Below are 16,674 nucleotides of genomic sequence, written 5' to 3' on the forward strand. Positions count from 1 at the left end.
TCCCTCGATAAAGTGAGGGATGCACAGCAGCATTCCACCATCAAATGAAAGTGGTATACACTCGGTTCTTCGCTTTGCTTGAAGGAAAAACGACCAGACATCGGATTACATATCAACTTATGGACTATCACCAATAGTTTGGTTGGATGGTCAGGGACTTAGAAGGAACATGATTGGAAAATCGATGACAAGAAAGTGTAAGGAAGAGGTATTTGGCTAGAGCTCTCTAAACAGGCAAAAAAAAAAAAAAAAAACTGAAGGTATTTGTATTCTCCTATGTCAATGCCCACCAAAGGATGACCTCAGCAGAGAAGGATATTAATAATCAAGTAGATAGGATGACCTGTTCTGTGGATACCAGCCAGTCTCTTTCCCACCTGTCATCCTATCTACTGTCATCACCCAGTGGGCTCATGAACAAAGTGGCCATGGTAGCAGAGATGGTGGTTACGCATGGGCTCAGCAACATGGACTTCTACTCACCAAGGCTGATCTGGCTACAGCTGATGCTGAGTGCCAATCTGCCAGCAGCAGAGACCAATACTAGGTCTCGATATATGGCATCATTGCTGACAATAGTAAGCCAAGCTACCATGCCAGGTTGATAACACTGAACTGCTTTTATCATGGAAGGGGCAGTGTTTTGTTCTTGCTGTAACAGACACTTACTCTGGATACAGATTTGCCTTCCCTGCACACAATATTTCTGTCACAACTACCATCCATGGTATTACAAAAAGCCTTATTCACTGTAATGATATTCCACACAGCATTGCCTGTGATCAAGGAGCTAACTTCACAGCAAATGAAGTGTGACAGTAGGCCCACACTCATGGAATTCACTGGTCTTACCATGTTCTCCACCATCCTGAAGCAGGTGGCTTGATGGAATGGCCTCTGGAAGACTCAGGTACAGCACCAGATGGATGCCAATTCCTTGCAGGGCTGGGGCAAGGTTCTCCAAGAAGCTGTACATGCTCTGAATCAGCATCCAGTAAATAGTGCCACTTCTCCCATAGCCAGAGTTAATGGATTCAGGAATCAAGGGGTGGAAATTTGAGTGGCACCACTCACTATTAACCCTAGTAGCCCACTAGCAAAATGTATGCTTCCTGTTCCCACAACTGTATACTCTGCTGGCTTAGAAGTCTTAGTTCCAAGGGCAAGATGTTTCCACCAGGAGACACAACAATGATTCCACTGAACTGGAAGTTAAGACTGCCACATGGCCACTTTGGGCTCCTTATGCCTTTGTATCACCAGGCAAAGGAGGGAGTTACAGTGTTGGCTCAGGTGACTGATCCTGAACTGCTACTCCACAATAAAGGTAAGGAAGAGTATGCTTAAAATACAGGCAATCTCCTTTGGATGTCTCTTGGTATTACCATGCCTTGTGATTAAAGTCAACAGAAAACTACAACAACGCAATTCAGGCAGCAATACTAATGGCCCAGAACCTTCAGGAATAAAGGTTTGGGTCACCTCCCAGGTAAAAAACCACAAACATCTCAGGTGCTGGCTGAAGGCAAAGGCATACAGAATGAGTAATGGAAGGAGATAGTTATAAATACCAGCTAGGACACAGAAATGGGGACTATGGTTGTCATGAATATTTCCTTATTTTGTTTAAAAAATATTTGTGTCTATATATTAATATATGTACTAATCAAGTCTTTGTTCTCTACTGTGATGGTTAATAGCAGGTGTCAACTTGATTGGATTGAAGGCTGCCTAGATAGCCAGCAACATATTATTTCTGGGTATGTCTGTGAGGGTGTTGCCAGAGGAGACTGATATTTGAGTCAGTGGACTGAGAGAAGAAGACCTACCCTCAATGTGGGTGGGCACCACCATCCAATCGGCTGCCAGCATGGCTAGAACAAAAGCAGGCTGAATTAGGTGGCGTAAGCTGACTTGCTGAATCTTCTGGCTTTCATCTTTCTCCTATGCTGGATTCTTCCTTCTGTTCCTCCTGCCTTTGGACATCAAGGCTCCAGGTTCTTTGGTCTTTGGACTCTTGGACTTACACCAGTGGTTTGCCGGGGGCTCTCAGGCCTTCAGCCACAGACTGAAGGCTGCACAGTCAGCTTCCCTGCTTTTGAGGCTTTTGGACTTGGACTGAACTACTACTGGCTTCTTTCTTCCCCAGCTTGCAAGACGGCCTATCGTGGGACTTCACCTTGTGATTGTGTGTGCCAGTTCTCCCTAATGAACTCCCTATCATGTATACATATAGCCTATTAGTTCTGTTCCTCTGGAGAACCCTGACTTATAACACATCTACCCTCTCTTTTCCTCTTAACATGAAACATAAGATGTATTAACTAGATATCATAGCATATAAATTACAAGATATCAAGCAGAAGAATACACATTATCCAAAGGTTTTGCACCCTCTTCTAGGGAAAAGGTCAGTGCATTTTTGTACACAGGATAGCTGTATCATGTTAGGCAGATTTATGTCGGTGTTTTCACTTTATTTGGAAATTAAGCAAGGCCTAAGGAGATGTGTAAGGGTACCGAGCTGAAAAGGGGTAGACTTGTGGGAGTTAATTTTATGTGTCAATTTGACTGGGCCATGAGGTACCCAGATATTTGGTCAAACAAACACTATCCTGGGTGTTTCTGTGGGGAGATTGTTGGATGAGATTAACATTTAAATCAGTGGACTTTGAGTAAAGCAGATTGCCCTCTATAATGTGGGTGAGTGTCATCCAATCAGTTGAAGGCCTTAACAGAACAAAAAGACTGTCCTCTCCTGAGCAAGAAAGAATTCTTCAGCACAGTCTTCAGACTTTATATGCAACACTAGCTCTTCCTGATTCTACAGTAGAAGGTCTCCAGACTCAAATGGGACCACTAACTTTCCTGGGTCTCCACCCTGCCTGGCCACCATGCAGAGTTTGGACCTGCCAGTCTCCATAATCACAGGAGCCAATTCCTTATAATAAATCTTTTTATATTTATACACACACACATAGTCCTTTACTTACAATGATTCTATTTACAGTTTTTTTTACTTCATAACACTGCAAAAGTAATACACATACAGTAGAAACGGTACTTCTCTCACAATGCTTGGCAGTAGCGGTAAGCCATAGCTCCCACTCAGCCAGACATTTTCATCTTAGGATATTTTCAACTTATAATGGTGTTATCGGAACATAACCTCATTGTAAGTCAAGTAGCATCTGTACATACAGTCATGCATCACTTAACAATGGAGATATTGTCTGAGAAATGCATCATTAAGCAACTCTGTCATTGTATGAACACCATAGAATGTGCTTACTCAAACCTAGATGGTACAGCCTACTATACACCTAGGCTAGATGATCTAGCCTATTGCTCCTGGGCTACAACCCTGTACAGCATATGACTGTAAGGAATACTATAGGCAACTGGAGCACAATGGCAAGTATTTGTCTAATTAAACACATCTAAACATAGAAAAGTTACAGTAACAACACCGTATTATAATCTAATGGGACCACTGTTGTATAGCAGTCCATCACTGACTGAAATGTCACTGTGGCACATGACCATTTGTGTTTATGTGGGTGTGTGTGTGTGTGTGTGCATGTACACGTGTGTGTGTATGGCCCTCCATGTCCATGGGTTCCAAATCTGTGAATTCAACCAATTATAGATTTAAAATATTCAAAAAAAGTGATGAAACATAATGATACAACAATAAGAAATAATACAGTATAACAATAATTTACATACAATTTACATTGTATTAGGTATTTAAAGTAATGTAGAGATGATTTAAGGTATGTAGGAGGATGTATAGATTATATGCAAATACTATGCCAATTTATATAAGGGACTTGAGCATCCACAGATTTTGGTATCTATAGGGGATCCTGAAACCAATCTCCTATGGATGCTAAGGAATGACTGTGTGTGTGTGTGTGTGTGTGTGTGTGTGTGTGTGTGTGTGTGTGTGTTTATATGTGTATGTGTATGTATATATCCTATTGTGTGTGTGTGTGTGTGTGTGTGTGTGTGTGTGTGTTTATATGTGTATGTGTATGTATATATCCTATTGGTCCTGGTCTCTGGAGAAGCCTAATACATTATTACAGCACTTTTTCCTTGAGTATAAAATCCAGTATATAATCAAGTATATAATCAGATATTGCCTTTATTTTGTCATGTCTCTTAGGTCTCATTTCATCTGGAAGTTTCTCAATTTCTGTCTTTTAGGACTGACTTTGTTGAGGAATATTGTTTTTTATTTAAATATAATTTTTTGTTTCACTGGCACTTCATCATCATTCAGGTTATGCATGTTCAATACTTAGGTGATGTGTGCTTTGCAGGTATCCAAACCCGAAGCATACAACATCAGTCTGTCCCTCATTAATGACATTAGATTTATCATCCAGTTAAAGTGATGTCCAGTTTATCCACTGTATAGGTGGATAAAGCAATAGGGAAATAAAGCAATCCATAGGGACACATTTTAGGGCATGAAAAATACGCTGTTCTTCATCAAAATGTCCTATCTAGATTGAGCATTCACTGACAATTCTTGCCTGAACTAATCCTTACTATAATGGTTACAATGGAGTAACTTTCTGACTCTTCCACTTCTTCCAAGTTTATCAGTCAGCATTGCACCACAGAGAAGAGACCTCCCTTATTCCTGCTTAGATATCTACCTATCTATTAGGCTACTCATGAATCACCATTTTTTTCAATGCTTTAATACTCATTCTTGGTCAGGCACAATGACTCACACCTGAAATCCCAGCACTTTGGGAGGCTGAAGCAGGAGGATTGCTTGAGCCCAGGAGTTCAAGACCAGGCTGGGCAACACAGTAAGATCCGTCTCTATTTCAATTTAAAAAAATAAGCCAGGCATGGTGGTTCTCGCGATTCTCCTGCCTCAGCCTCCTGAGTAGCTGGGATTACAGACACATGCCACCATGCCTGGTTAATTTTTGTATTTTTAGTAGAGACAGGGATTCATCATACTGGTCAGGCTGGTCTCTAACTCCTGACCTCAGGTGATCCGCCCACCTCAGCCTCCCAAAGTGCTGGGATTACAGGCATGAGCCACCACACCCAGCCTTTCCCTAATCATTTTAATGCACAAGTTGTCCCAGATTTGGTCACTGGAAGCACTTTCAAAAGCCGGCTCTGTGTCCTGACATGCCCCCTTTCTTTACTTTTCTTTTTCTTTCTCTCTTTCTATTTTTGAGAACTTCATTTGTTCTCTTACAAGTAGCCTTGATTCCTTTTAATGGGAAATAAGATCTTATGGAATCTTAATAGAAACCAAGATCTGGGCATCAGGTATGCTGCTTGCTACTGAGGTACCTTGCCTTCTAGGCTCTTTCATGAACAGAGCTAGGACATACATATTTAGATCATATATTTATGCATATTTAGGTCATTTTATATACATTTAAATCTGGTGCACAAATATTTATGCTGTACATGAACTTATATTGTATACATATGTGGTATGCGTGTTTCATAATATTATAAGGAATGCCTTATTCAGTTGACTTGTAACCATTTGCTTTTAATTTCCTCATGCAGGAAACTATTTGAATGTGAAACTGACTTTAAACTTGTTTACTGATTGAAGTCATCCCAAATGAACCAAAAAGCATATAGCCAACTTACTCAGAACAAGAATATGATGTACAAGAATAATGATCAAATTGAATGGTGAAACCCAAATATTATAATGGGGATCCAATGGAATGTGAAGTATATCAATAATGTCCATGTCTCTACCTAGTATGAAAGCCTGGTCTGCTACCCATCACTAAACCACTTATGAAACAACCTGTCTGCTCACTTCTCTGTGTCTTTCCAATAAATATCAGAGTGGCAGCAACTAGAGGATGGTTGGTGGCAGTTAAAGCAGAAAAAAAAGGTTGAGCATCTAAGAATTCAGGTCCTACCTCAGTTTCCTACCACATTTTTAGACTGGAAATAAATGCCTGAATTTGAAAATGTTTACATGGTTTGCATGGTTTCTGATTCTGTTTCTGTGTGTTACATTTCAAGGAACTAGATGTTTGCTATGACTTCAAGTGAAATTGAAATTGAAACTAAAATCGGGAACAAGTATGCACATGTACTTATGCTCTTGCATACTTATGTAATTACAAATATATATTCAATATAATTTAAGATTTGTGTACTACTGTCCGGGCGTGGTTGCTCACACATGTAATCCCAGCACTTTGGGAGGCCGAGGCAGGCAGATCACCAGGTCAGGAGTTCGAGACCAGCTTAGCCAGCATGGTGAAACCCCATCTCTACTAAAAATGTAAAAATTAGCTGGGCATGGTGGCGCACGCCTGTAATCCCAGCTACTCAGGAGGCTGGGGCAGGAGAATCACTTGAACCGAGGAGGCGGAGGTTGTAGTGAGGTGAGATCACGCCACTGCACTCCAGCCTGGCAACAGAGTAAAACTCTATCTAAAAAAAAAAAAAAAAAAAAGATTTGTGTACTACTCTTCTACCTATGGGCCCATCCTTGTTCCTTAGTCTCAGCTCTACAAATAAGTATATTAAGTGCTCACCATCAGGTTGTTTTCTCAATCTGTTTGGATGAAATTCATTGTCTAGTAGATCCTCAGGGAGACTACCTGTGTAGGGTATTCTCTGAGCTCTTGAGTGCTCAAATTTTTTCTTTTTTTTTTTGGAGACAGAGTCTCACTCTGTTGCCCAGGCTGGACTGCAATGGTGTGATCTCCTCACTGCAACCTCTGCCTCCTGGGTTCAAGCGATTCTCCTGCCTCAGCCTCCCAAGTAGCTAGGACTACAGGCGTGCACCACCATGCCTGGCTAATTTTTGTATTTTTAGTAGAGATGGGGTTTCACCACGTTGGCCAGGCTGGTCTTGAACTTCTGACCTCATGATCCACCCACCTCGGCCTCCCAAAGTGCTGGGATTACCGGCATGAGCCACCGTGCCCAACCTCAAACTTTGTTTTATAGCCTTAATCTTGAAGGCAGTTAGTTGGATATAACTCTTGCTTTGTACTTTCTTTCCCTAAGTTTCTTTAAAAAAAAACCACCAACACAAAGTTGCTCCAGTGCTGCCTTGCTTTGTATGTCACTTTTAAGAAGTTGGATGCCAACCTAACTATCCTTCCGTTTATAATTTATTTTATCTTTTTGCCTAAAGCCCTGAGGATTTTTTAAAATATTAAAATCTAACAATATCACTCAATATTGAAGTCTAATAGTATTAATAGGATATATCTCAGAGCTGTTTGTTATGAGAACTGATAATTGTATCATTATCAATTTTCCCCAGTACCTAGTAAGCCATTTCAATGTGTATACTCAAGTCTTCTTTTATTCTCAGAATTACATTTGCTGAATAATTTTTCTTCTTTAAGGACTCCAGTTCTACATGTTACATTTTCTTTGCCTGTTCTCCATTTCAGCCACTTTTTCTCTGACATTTTTTCTTTCTGTATTTAATTAAGTGTTCCCCTGCTTTTCTTCAATGCCCTTATTAAATTTGTATTTAAATCTATTCTTCCTTGGAGAACTTGTAAATATATTCATCATTTCTGATACAATTCTGTCTTTTCCTTTTTTTTCCCAGAATCAATTGTCATTGTCATTTTTTTTCCAGAATCCATTTCCTCCCTTTTCTTGTCCATTTCTTTCTTCGTTTTTAATACCTGATTCCAGGTGTTATGTTTCTCTTTTTATATCATCTAATGCTTGTCTCAGGACATTTATTCAGTTTGGAGTATTATATTCCTGTTTTTTTTCTACATAATGGTTGGATTTGGAGGAATATTTTTATTTGCATTTTCTGTTTTCCTTTTACAGTAGTTTTGTAGTAATTTGTTCTATTTCTAGGCATTTATTACACAGCATTCTAAGTATAAAAAGTCACTAACAGTTTAGTGAGGTTCACTTTGTTTAATGAATGATAGAGAAAAACTAGTAATTTTTCCTGTTTCTGCAAAAATGTATAATTTTCTCTTTCTCTTCACTGGTCACATCTCCAAGGTACCAACCCCTTTTCTATTTATCTGATTCCCCTCTAAATGCAAGGCTTCTCAGAGGCTGCCCCTTCTGGTTCTGCTCACTTTAACACCCTTTTCCTTAGCCACAGGTGTAAACTAACAAGTCCCAGACCAGGGTTCTGTATTTTGGCACATATTGCTGACATTTTCTCTTTCTGAGAATGATTTCTGTATGTGTTTTGTCTAAAGTTTTGGGGACTCTCGCCTTTTTTTCATAGAGCCAATTTTTTTTTTAAATTTTTTTTGAGACCAAGTCTCGCTCTGTCACCCAGGCTGGAGTGCAGTGGTGTGATCTCAGCTCACTGCAACCTCTGCCTCCTGGGTTGAAGTGATTCTCCTGCCTCAGCTTCCCAATAGCTGGGACTACAGATGTGCATCACCATGCCAGTCTAACTTTTTTTTTTAGGGGGGATGGAGTCTCATTCAGTCGCCCAGGCTGGAGTGCAGTGGTACGATCTCGGCTCACTGCAACCTCAGCCCCCAGGGTTCAAGCAATTCTCCTGTCTCAGCCCCCCGAGTAGCTGGGACTACAGGCGCCTGCCACCATGCTCGGCTAATTTTTGTATTTTTAGTAGAGACAGGTTTTACCTTGTTGGTCAGGCTGGTCTTGAACTCCTGACCTCAGGTGATCTGCCGGCCTCAGCCTCCCAAAGTGCTGGGATTATAGGCGTGAGCCACCACGCCCAGTCTCCTTTTTTTCATTGAGTCTCTTAAGTTTCCCTTTCTCCACTATTCCATACCCAACAAGACTACTGCAGAAGAGCCCTATGAAATTTGGTACTGTTTTCCTTTCCCTAATTACATGTAATCTGAAGATTATCATACTCCCTATCTCTGAGCAATGCTGAAAGCATGGGTCATGTGTGGTTTTCAGCTTGTTAATATTATTTTGCGGAGGAGGCAGGAAAGATGTACATGAAAATTTGGAATCAGGTGACTGACATTATCCTCCAGACCTACAATATCTGTCCTTGCTCACTGTTAAAGTATCATTTCTGAAGTTCTAAAAAAAAAAAGCAAACAAATCGTCAAGGCAAATGAGAAGTTTCCAGGTTGGTCTGAGAGTCTCTCAGAGGTGTTCTAAAGATTTAAAACCTCCCAACTCCATCTCCATCTGCCCTCAGTGGAAAGCTAAATGCTAATGTCCTTTTTCTCTTAAAAAAAAAAAAAAAAGATGAATTTATATAATGTGAAATTTTATTTTAGATTCAGGGGGTACCTGTGTGGGTTCGTTATGAGTTATACAGTGTAATGCTGAGATGTGGCGTACAAATGATTCCGTCACCCAGGTAGTGACCATAGTATCCAACAGGTAGTTTTTCAGCCTTTTCCCTCTTCTTTCTCTCTACTGTCTATCAGTATCTATTGTTCCCACCTTTATGTCCCTGTGTACCAATGTTTAGCTCCCACTTACAAGTAAGAACTTCATATAGGTTTAGATGTTAATTCTGTTCCGGAATTAAATTCTCTTCTAGTATAATGGCATCCAACTGCATCCATGTTGCTGCAAAGGACATGATTTTGTTATTTTTTATAGCCGCATATTCCATGGTGTATACGTACCACATTTTTATTTTGTTCTCTGTTGCCCTGGATTTTTTGTTCTCACTCTGTTGCCCAGGTTGGAGTGCAGTGGCATGATCACGGCTCACTGCAGCCTCCGTCTCCTGGGCTCAAGCGATCCTCTCACCTCAGCTTCCCTAGGAGCTGGGGCAATGGCTGTATACCACCATACCTAGCTAATTTTTTTTTTCCCAGTAGAGACGAGGTCTCACAACATTGCTTAGGCTAGAATCCAACTCCTGAGCTCAAGCAATCCTTCCTCTTTAGCCTCCCAAATGTTGGGATTACAGGCATGAGCCACCATGCCCAACATACGTACATTTTCTTTATCTAATCCACCAATGACGGGCACCCACACTAATTCCATGTCTTTGCTATCGTGAATAGTACTGTGATGAACATACAAGTGCATGTGTCTATTGTGATATTCATTTAGGCACATACTCAGTAATGGGATTGCTAGATCAAATGGTAGTTCTAAGTTTTTTCAGCTTTCCACAGTGGCTGAACTAATTTACATTCTCATCAATAGTGTGTAAGTGTTCCCTTTTCTGTACAGCCTCACCAGCATCTGTTATTTTTTTACTTTCTAATAAAAGCCATTCTGACTGGTGTGAGATGGCATCTGTGGTTTTGATTTGCCTTTCTCTGATGATTAGCGATGTTGAGCATTTTTTCATGTTTGTTGGCCACTTGCATGTCTTCCTTTGAGAAGCGTCTGTTCATGTGTTTTCCGCACTTTTTAATAGGGTTATTTGTTGTTTGCTTGTTGAATTGTTTAAGTCCTTTATAGATTCTGGATATTAGGCCTTTGTCAGATACATAGTTGCGAATATTTTCTCCCATTGAGTATGCTGTTTATTCTGCTGGTAGTTTCTTCTGCTGTGCAGAAATTCTGTAGTTTAATTAGATCCCATTTGTCAATTTTTGTTTTTCTTGCAATTGCTTTTTCAGGACTTAGGAATTCTTTCCAAAGTCCGAGGTATTTCCTAGGTTTTCTTCTAGGATTTTTATAGTTTGAGGTCTTACATTTAAATCTTTAATCCATCTTGAGTTAACTTTTATATATGGTGAAAGGTAGGGGTCCAGTTTCATGCTTCTGCATATGGCTAGCCAGTTATCCCAGCACCATTTCTTGAATAGGAAGATCTTTCCCCACTGCTTGGTTTTTTTTCCACTTTGCCAAAGATCAGATGGCTGTAGGTGTGAGGCTGTATTTCTGGGTTCTCTATGCTGTTCTATTGGTTTATGTGTCTGTTTTTGTAAAAATGGTAGATTATTTGCAGCTCCACAGTCTTAAAAAAATTCTGAGAGGCTTCATACCAGACTTTCTACACAGGAGGTTTTATCACTCATAATTATCTACATTATATTACAGTAACATATTAGCCCAAAATTTCTGTGGCTTAATATAATAGTTCACTTCTCCCTCATTCTGCATGTCCAGTGTGGCTTGTCTAGGGTTCTGTTACATGTCTTCTTCACTACAGAACCTATGTTTAAAGAGAAGCTGACATCTAGAGTACTGCCAGTTGATGAAGTAGTGGAAATAAAGCTTTTAAAGGAGTTACACTGACAGTTAAATACACCAGCCCTGAAGTCTTACATGTAACCTCTGCTCAATTTCATTGGCAAGAACTGATCACCTAACCACAAATGGGCCTATCTTGTGTCAGATGGAGAGCCAGAATCTCCACCATAGAAGCTGTATCTCAAACCTAAAATATTCCTAAACATTTCTGTTAGCTGCAGTAATGTACTTAGCATATAAAAGCATATAAAAACTACAATGACTTAACATTAAAATCAAACATATCAAGTTCTAATGAAATTCAAACGACATGCAGTAAGACCTGTCAAATAAATGTAATATTTTATTTGGCCAAATGATGAAGACTAAAATGCTTTAATTAGAGTTCCCAGAAAACAAAGTTAGCTATTGCCAAAGCGAGCTATTGCCAACTTTAAATTATGAAAGATGACTGTATCCATAACACCCTTACAAAGAAAATTTACATGATTTTTTTTTTTAGACAGAGTCTTGCACTGGAGTGTAAAGGCACAATCAGGGCTCACTGCCACCTCGACCTCCCAGGCTCAAGCAACCCTTTCACCTCAGCCTGCAGAGTAGCTGAGACTACAGGCTTGAGCCACCACACCTGGATAATTTTTTATTATTTGTAGAGGCAAGGTCTTCCTACGTTGCCCAGGCTGGTCTCAAATCCTAGGCTCAAGCACTCCTCCTACCTCAGCCTCCCAAAGTGTTGGGATTACAGGCATGAGCCACCATGCCCAGCCTTAAATGATTTTTTTTTTTTTGAGACAAAGTCTCACTCTGTCGCCCAGGCTGGAGTGCAGAGGTGTGATCTCAGCTCACTGTAAGCTCTGCCTCCCAGGTTCACACCATTCTCCTGCCTCAGCCTTCCAAGCAACTGGGACTACAGGTGCCCACCACCGCGCCCTGCTAATTTTTTGTATTTTTAGTAGAGATAGGGTTTCATCATGTTATCCAGGATGGTCTCGATCTCCTGACCTCGTGATCTGCCCGCCTCTGCCTCCCAAAGTGCTGGGATTACAGGCATGAGCCACTGCGCCCAGCCTATTTTTAATAAAGAGAATCACTAATATACACGCACATGGGTTTACTTTATATACATAGAGGTATTTATCTTCATATAGGCCTAGATATCATTAATTACCTGTTTACTTAGCACAAATACATCTGAAGTAATATATCTGAAGGGGTAGTAAACACAAAGAAAAATATCTATTTAATTTTTTATTTATAGTAGTTATTATTTTGGGTCACACTTCTGGAAGTAAAAAGGCAAGTTTTAAAGTATCTATAATATCTGGATGATAGCACGTTGATAAACATAAACATTAAAAAATTCAAGGACATCCATAAAGACAACGAACCACAGAAAATGACTTATTCTTTCTTTGTTGTGTGCCCATAAAAGGGAATTTTAAACTCACTAAAAATGACATATAAATTCAATGTTACTTTCCCACTATTTGCTTTATTATTGTCTTCCATTTTCTAAAACTTTTTAAAAATGTGAGTGAAAACATACTACCTTTTAAAAAGCTTACACTTTACTAAACTGTCCTTATTTATGATATTAAAATTGACTGAAAATAATGGAAGAATAAAAAGCAAATAAGCAATAGCTAACCAAAGGACATATCTACAAAGATATCTTAATTAAAAAAATAAAACCAAGTATACTTTAAAATTTTCATTCTACAAATATTTAACAAGTTCACATTGCATGTAGGCACTGTGCAGAGAGCTATCTAAAACAGTAGTGGCTTAGAGTCTCATTGCATAGGACCCATTTACTAGCTATAATGTATACATTCTCAAGCAAGTTACTTAACCTCTGTGCCTCTCTGTACCCTCATCTGTAAAATAAGACTGCTAATGGTACTGGCCTTATAGGATTTGTTGTGGAGATAAGAAGACTTAAAATACAATTTAAAAATCTTAGGGAAGTAAATGCCTGACACAAACCAGACATTGTAAGGATTAAATAAGATAATAAATGTACACCACTTAGAATGGTGCCAAGTATATAGTAATTATACAATATATGTACATTATATTGCTATAATTCATTAAAAGGAAGTCACTTATTGACTTCCAATTTTAACATGGTAAAAACATTTCCATACCCCCAAACATAAAGGTAAACAAGAAACAGAAACACATTCAATAACCCACAAAGACATTTATAACCCTAAGCTAAAATGCATGAGGATGGAAAACATTTGAAAGAAAGGTAAATGACTCAGCAGAATGGGAAAAGGTCAAGTTAAAATGCCTGCAGAGGAAACTGTTCATGTGAGCAAGCTAAATCACCCCCAGAGAACCCCAAAAGGCTCCAAATTATAGAAGCACCTGTAATCACCAAAGGCAGAGGACTGGGGAGGGCAAGATAAAGAATGCAAACAGGGGAAATGTCTGAAACGGATTTAAGGAGTTTTATTCCCCAAGTCCTCACACTCGTAACACTTAGGATTAATAATTTCCTGGGAGAAGAACCAGATTTGGGGTCACTGGGTATAGAGAGAAGCAAGGATGAGGTAAGAACGGAAAATGCAGAATAATATATAAGTCTACACACGCGCTGTTGGTTTCAGAAAGCAGAGAGCCAGGCTAATGTTCCCCAAGAAGTCCAGAGGATCCTTTTATGGAAAAATGAACAAACTTGGGTAAAAGTTGTTGATATTGACATATGGAGCTCCCGGTGAAAAACTATACCATGTAAGCCTCCAGCCAGCAAGACAGAGTTTCTAACCAGCATTTTGGTGTCTTATTCACATTAACAGTCAAGGATCACCAGACAATTGAGAGAAATCCCTAACATGCAAGACACCAAAATAAACAGAAAAAAAAAAAAAAAAAAAAAAAAAAAAGGAAGTTCAGAAGAAAGAGAGGCAACCCAGGGTACTAGGAAAATAACTTCATAAAAAGTATAATTATCCTTAAGGAGGTATATAGTTCAACCATAAAATAGAAAAAGAGAGCAATTAAGAAGAAATAAAACAAAAAATCAAGCTCTTAGAAAACTTTTAAATCTGTATAGGGGGAGCCTATTAAAGGTCTAGATAATAAAGTTAAAGAAAGAGACCAAATGTAAAGTAAAGATGCAAGGAGATAAACAACAGGAGATTAAAAAAATTTAAAAACACAGAATAATCTTGGAAATCCAGTATCTAAGAGAATTTTAGAAAAAGTGAACAGAAGAACCCAGAGGAGGACTAATTCAAAAAATATCCCCAGAACTAAAGGAGTTTTAATGGGCATACTCAGTGCTTAGCAAATAAATTTTAAAATATAAATGTAAAATTCCAAAATTCCAAACCAGGGATAAAGAGAGGATCCTAAAACCTTCCAGAGATTTTAAAAAATAGGTCACATACAAACCACTGGAAATAAGAATGGTATCAAACTTCTCATCAGCATCATTAGAAGCTAGAAGACAATGGGATAATGCCTTCAAAATCCCAAGTAACAATTCAATCTACAACTTTAAACCAAGCAAACCTGTCACAAATATGAGAACATAATGAAGACATTTTAATATCTGAAAAAGCTTTTCCAAAAAAAAATCTCCTATGCAAGCTTTCTCAGCAATCTACTGGAGGATGCGCCACAGATATAATACTAAAAAAGAGGACAGCCATTGGATCCAGGAAACAGGATTAAGCACATAATTCCCAGGATGATAGTGAAGGAAAATCCCATTATGACAGTTACACAAAGTTGAGAAAGAAACCAATCCAGAATGGAAGAGACGGAACAGAGTTCCACAAAGGACTGTCTTTAAGAAAAAAAGAACTCATGGGTTATCTAACCTATAGAAAATCATAATGAAAAGTATTTTATAAAGCTGTTAAAACATGTAGAAACACTTAGAGACTCAAAGAAAGCTAAGTGAATGAAAAGACTGGGGTAATTTAACTCCAGGAAAAACAACCAAAAAAAACTTATTTAAGGAAGGAAAAAAAACATAAAACACTTGGCCCCACAATGAATATTTATATAGCCATTAAAAACTGAATGTGGATTCAACCAAAATTATAATATAACTTCATTAAGTAGACAGGCAGGGAAATAAAACAGGTCTAAAATTGATGACTCAAGAGTTTTAAAATGCCACTTGAAATTGGTAGAAAATATTAGAAAAGAGTAGAAACTGGGAATAAAATCCCTCTTGTACTATTTGACTAAGTATTTATATGGATCGTTTTAATAAAAATTTTAAAATTAAACAAAGAATATTTATTGAGTACTCTTTGCGGGCGACATTATAGGCAGGTCCACTTAAACACCGTTCTCACCATTCTCAACTACCTTCTCCCCTTGGGAAGCTCAATATCTGATTTCATAGCCTCCCTTGCAGAATGATGACCATGTGATACCATGTGACCAAAAATTCAACATACAGAAAAGTCTAGTAAAGAGGATTTCAAAACCTACATTAGAAACTGTTTTCCTCTTCTCCCATATTCTTTTGTGAATGTGAATAATCAATGAGGGCAAAAGCTAAAACACATTTAAGCCTGCCAGAGCAGAAAGAGTCTAGATTCTTAGGGGCTTGGGCTTCCTGGCTCCAGACTCCCTGTTATGCAAGGATTTTAAAAATCCTTTTTAGTTAAGCCACTGTAGTTGAGTTTTCTTACTTGCAGCTAAACACGCACAGTTACTATGACAGACACTGGGAAACAAAGATGATGAAACAGTTCCTCCCCACAAAGCACACTATCTGCTAGAGTGAACGGAATCAATTAAAAAAAAACTATAATACCTAACTATGCACTACAGCCAAAATGTGGTGCTGCATGAATTCCAAAGAGGCAGGGGCAACACATCTAGTTGGAACATCAGAGATAGCTTCATGCTTGACGGCTATGGGTCCTGAAGAACTGAGTGAGTTTTAACAGGAATATATAGTCCACATCAAAGAAACAACATAAGCAAACATGCACGGGAAAGACAGAACACTTTCAAGAAAAGCAAGACTTCTGAGTTGCCAAAGAACTGCTACACAGAATTCATAGAAAAAAAAAAAGAAAAACATACAACAGAAAAATAGGAAAAAGACATAAGCACTTCACAAAAGAAATCTAAACAGCCAATAAACATATGAAAAATGGTCAACCTTGGCTGGGCGAGGTGGCTCACACCTGTAATCCCAGTACTTTGGGAGGCTGAGGTGGGCAGATCGAGGTCAGGAGATCGAGACCAGGAGATTGAGACCATCCTGGCTAATACGGTGAAACTCCGTCTCTACTAAAAATACAAAAACAATTAGCTGGACGTGGTGGTGGGCATCTGTAGACCCAGCTACTCGGGAGGCTGAGGCAGGAGAATGGCATGAACCTGGGAGGTGGAGCTTGCAGTGAGCCGACATTGGGGCGCCACTGCACTCCAGCCTGGCAGACAGAGTGAGACTCTGTCTCAAAAAAAAAAAAGAAAAAAGAAAAATGTTCAACCTCACTAATAATAAGGAAAATGTAAATTTAAAATCACAATAAGATGACAGTAAGATTCATCCCTATCAGATTGGAAAAGATT

At 39.0% G+C, this 16,674-nt stretch overlaps 1 protein-coding gene across 14 annotated transcripts in view, besides 3 other annotated features; it reads right to left on the reverse strand.

Moving 5' to 3' along the window:
• The window catches only part of RPS6KA5 (ribosomal protein S6 kinase A5), a 212,781-nt gene that overhangs the window by 168,770 nt on the left and 27,337 nt on the right, over positions 1-16,674 (reverse strand). The gene's annotated exons all lie outside the window — the stretch shown is intronic.
• Positions 5,734-5,783: an enhancer, noted in NCBI's record as "active region_8887". NCBI's record gives its function as "activates an Ori minimal core promoter by ATAC-STARR-seq in GM12878 lymphoblastoid cells {active_cell/tissue: GM12878}" and the evidence as "EXISTENCE:reporter gene assay evidence [ECO:0000049][PMID:35858748]".
• Positions 5,794-5,913: an enhancer, noted in NCBI's record as "active region_8888". NCBI's record gives its function as "activates an Ori minimal core promoter by ATAC-STARR-seq in GM12878 lymphoblastoid cells {active_cell/tissue: GM12878}" and the evidence as "EXISTENCE:reporter gene assay evidence [ECO:0000049][PMID:35858748]".
• Positions 5,994-6,153: an enhancer, noted in NCBI's record as "active region_8889". NCBI's record gives its function as "activates an Ori minimal core promoter by ATAC-STARR-seq in GM12878 lymphoblastoid cells {active_cell/tissue: GM12878}" and the evidence as "EXISTENCE:reporter gene assay evidence [ECO:0000049][PMID:35858748]".

The sequence above is a fragment of the Homo sapiens genome, chromosome 14 (genome assembly GCF_000001405.40).
Source record: "Homo sapiens chromosome 14, GRCh38.p14 Primary Assembly".
Taxonomy (NCBI): Eukaryota; Metazoa; Chordata; class Mammalia; order Primates; family Hominidae; genus Homo; species Homo sapiens.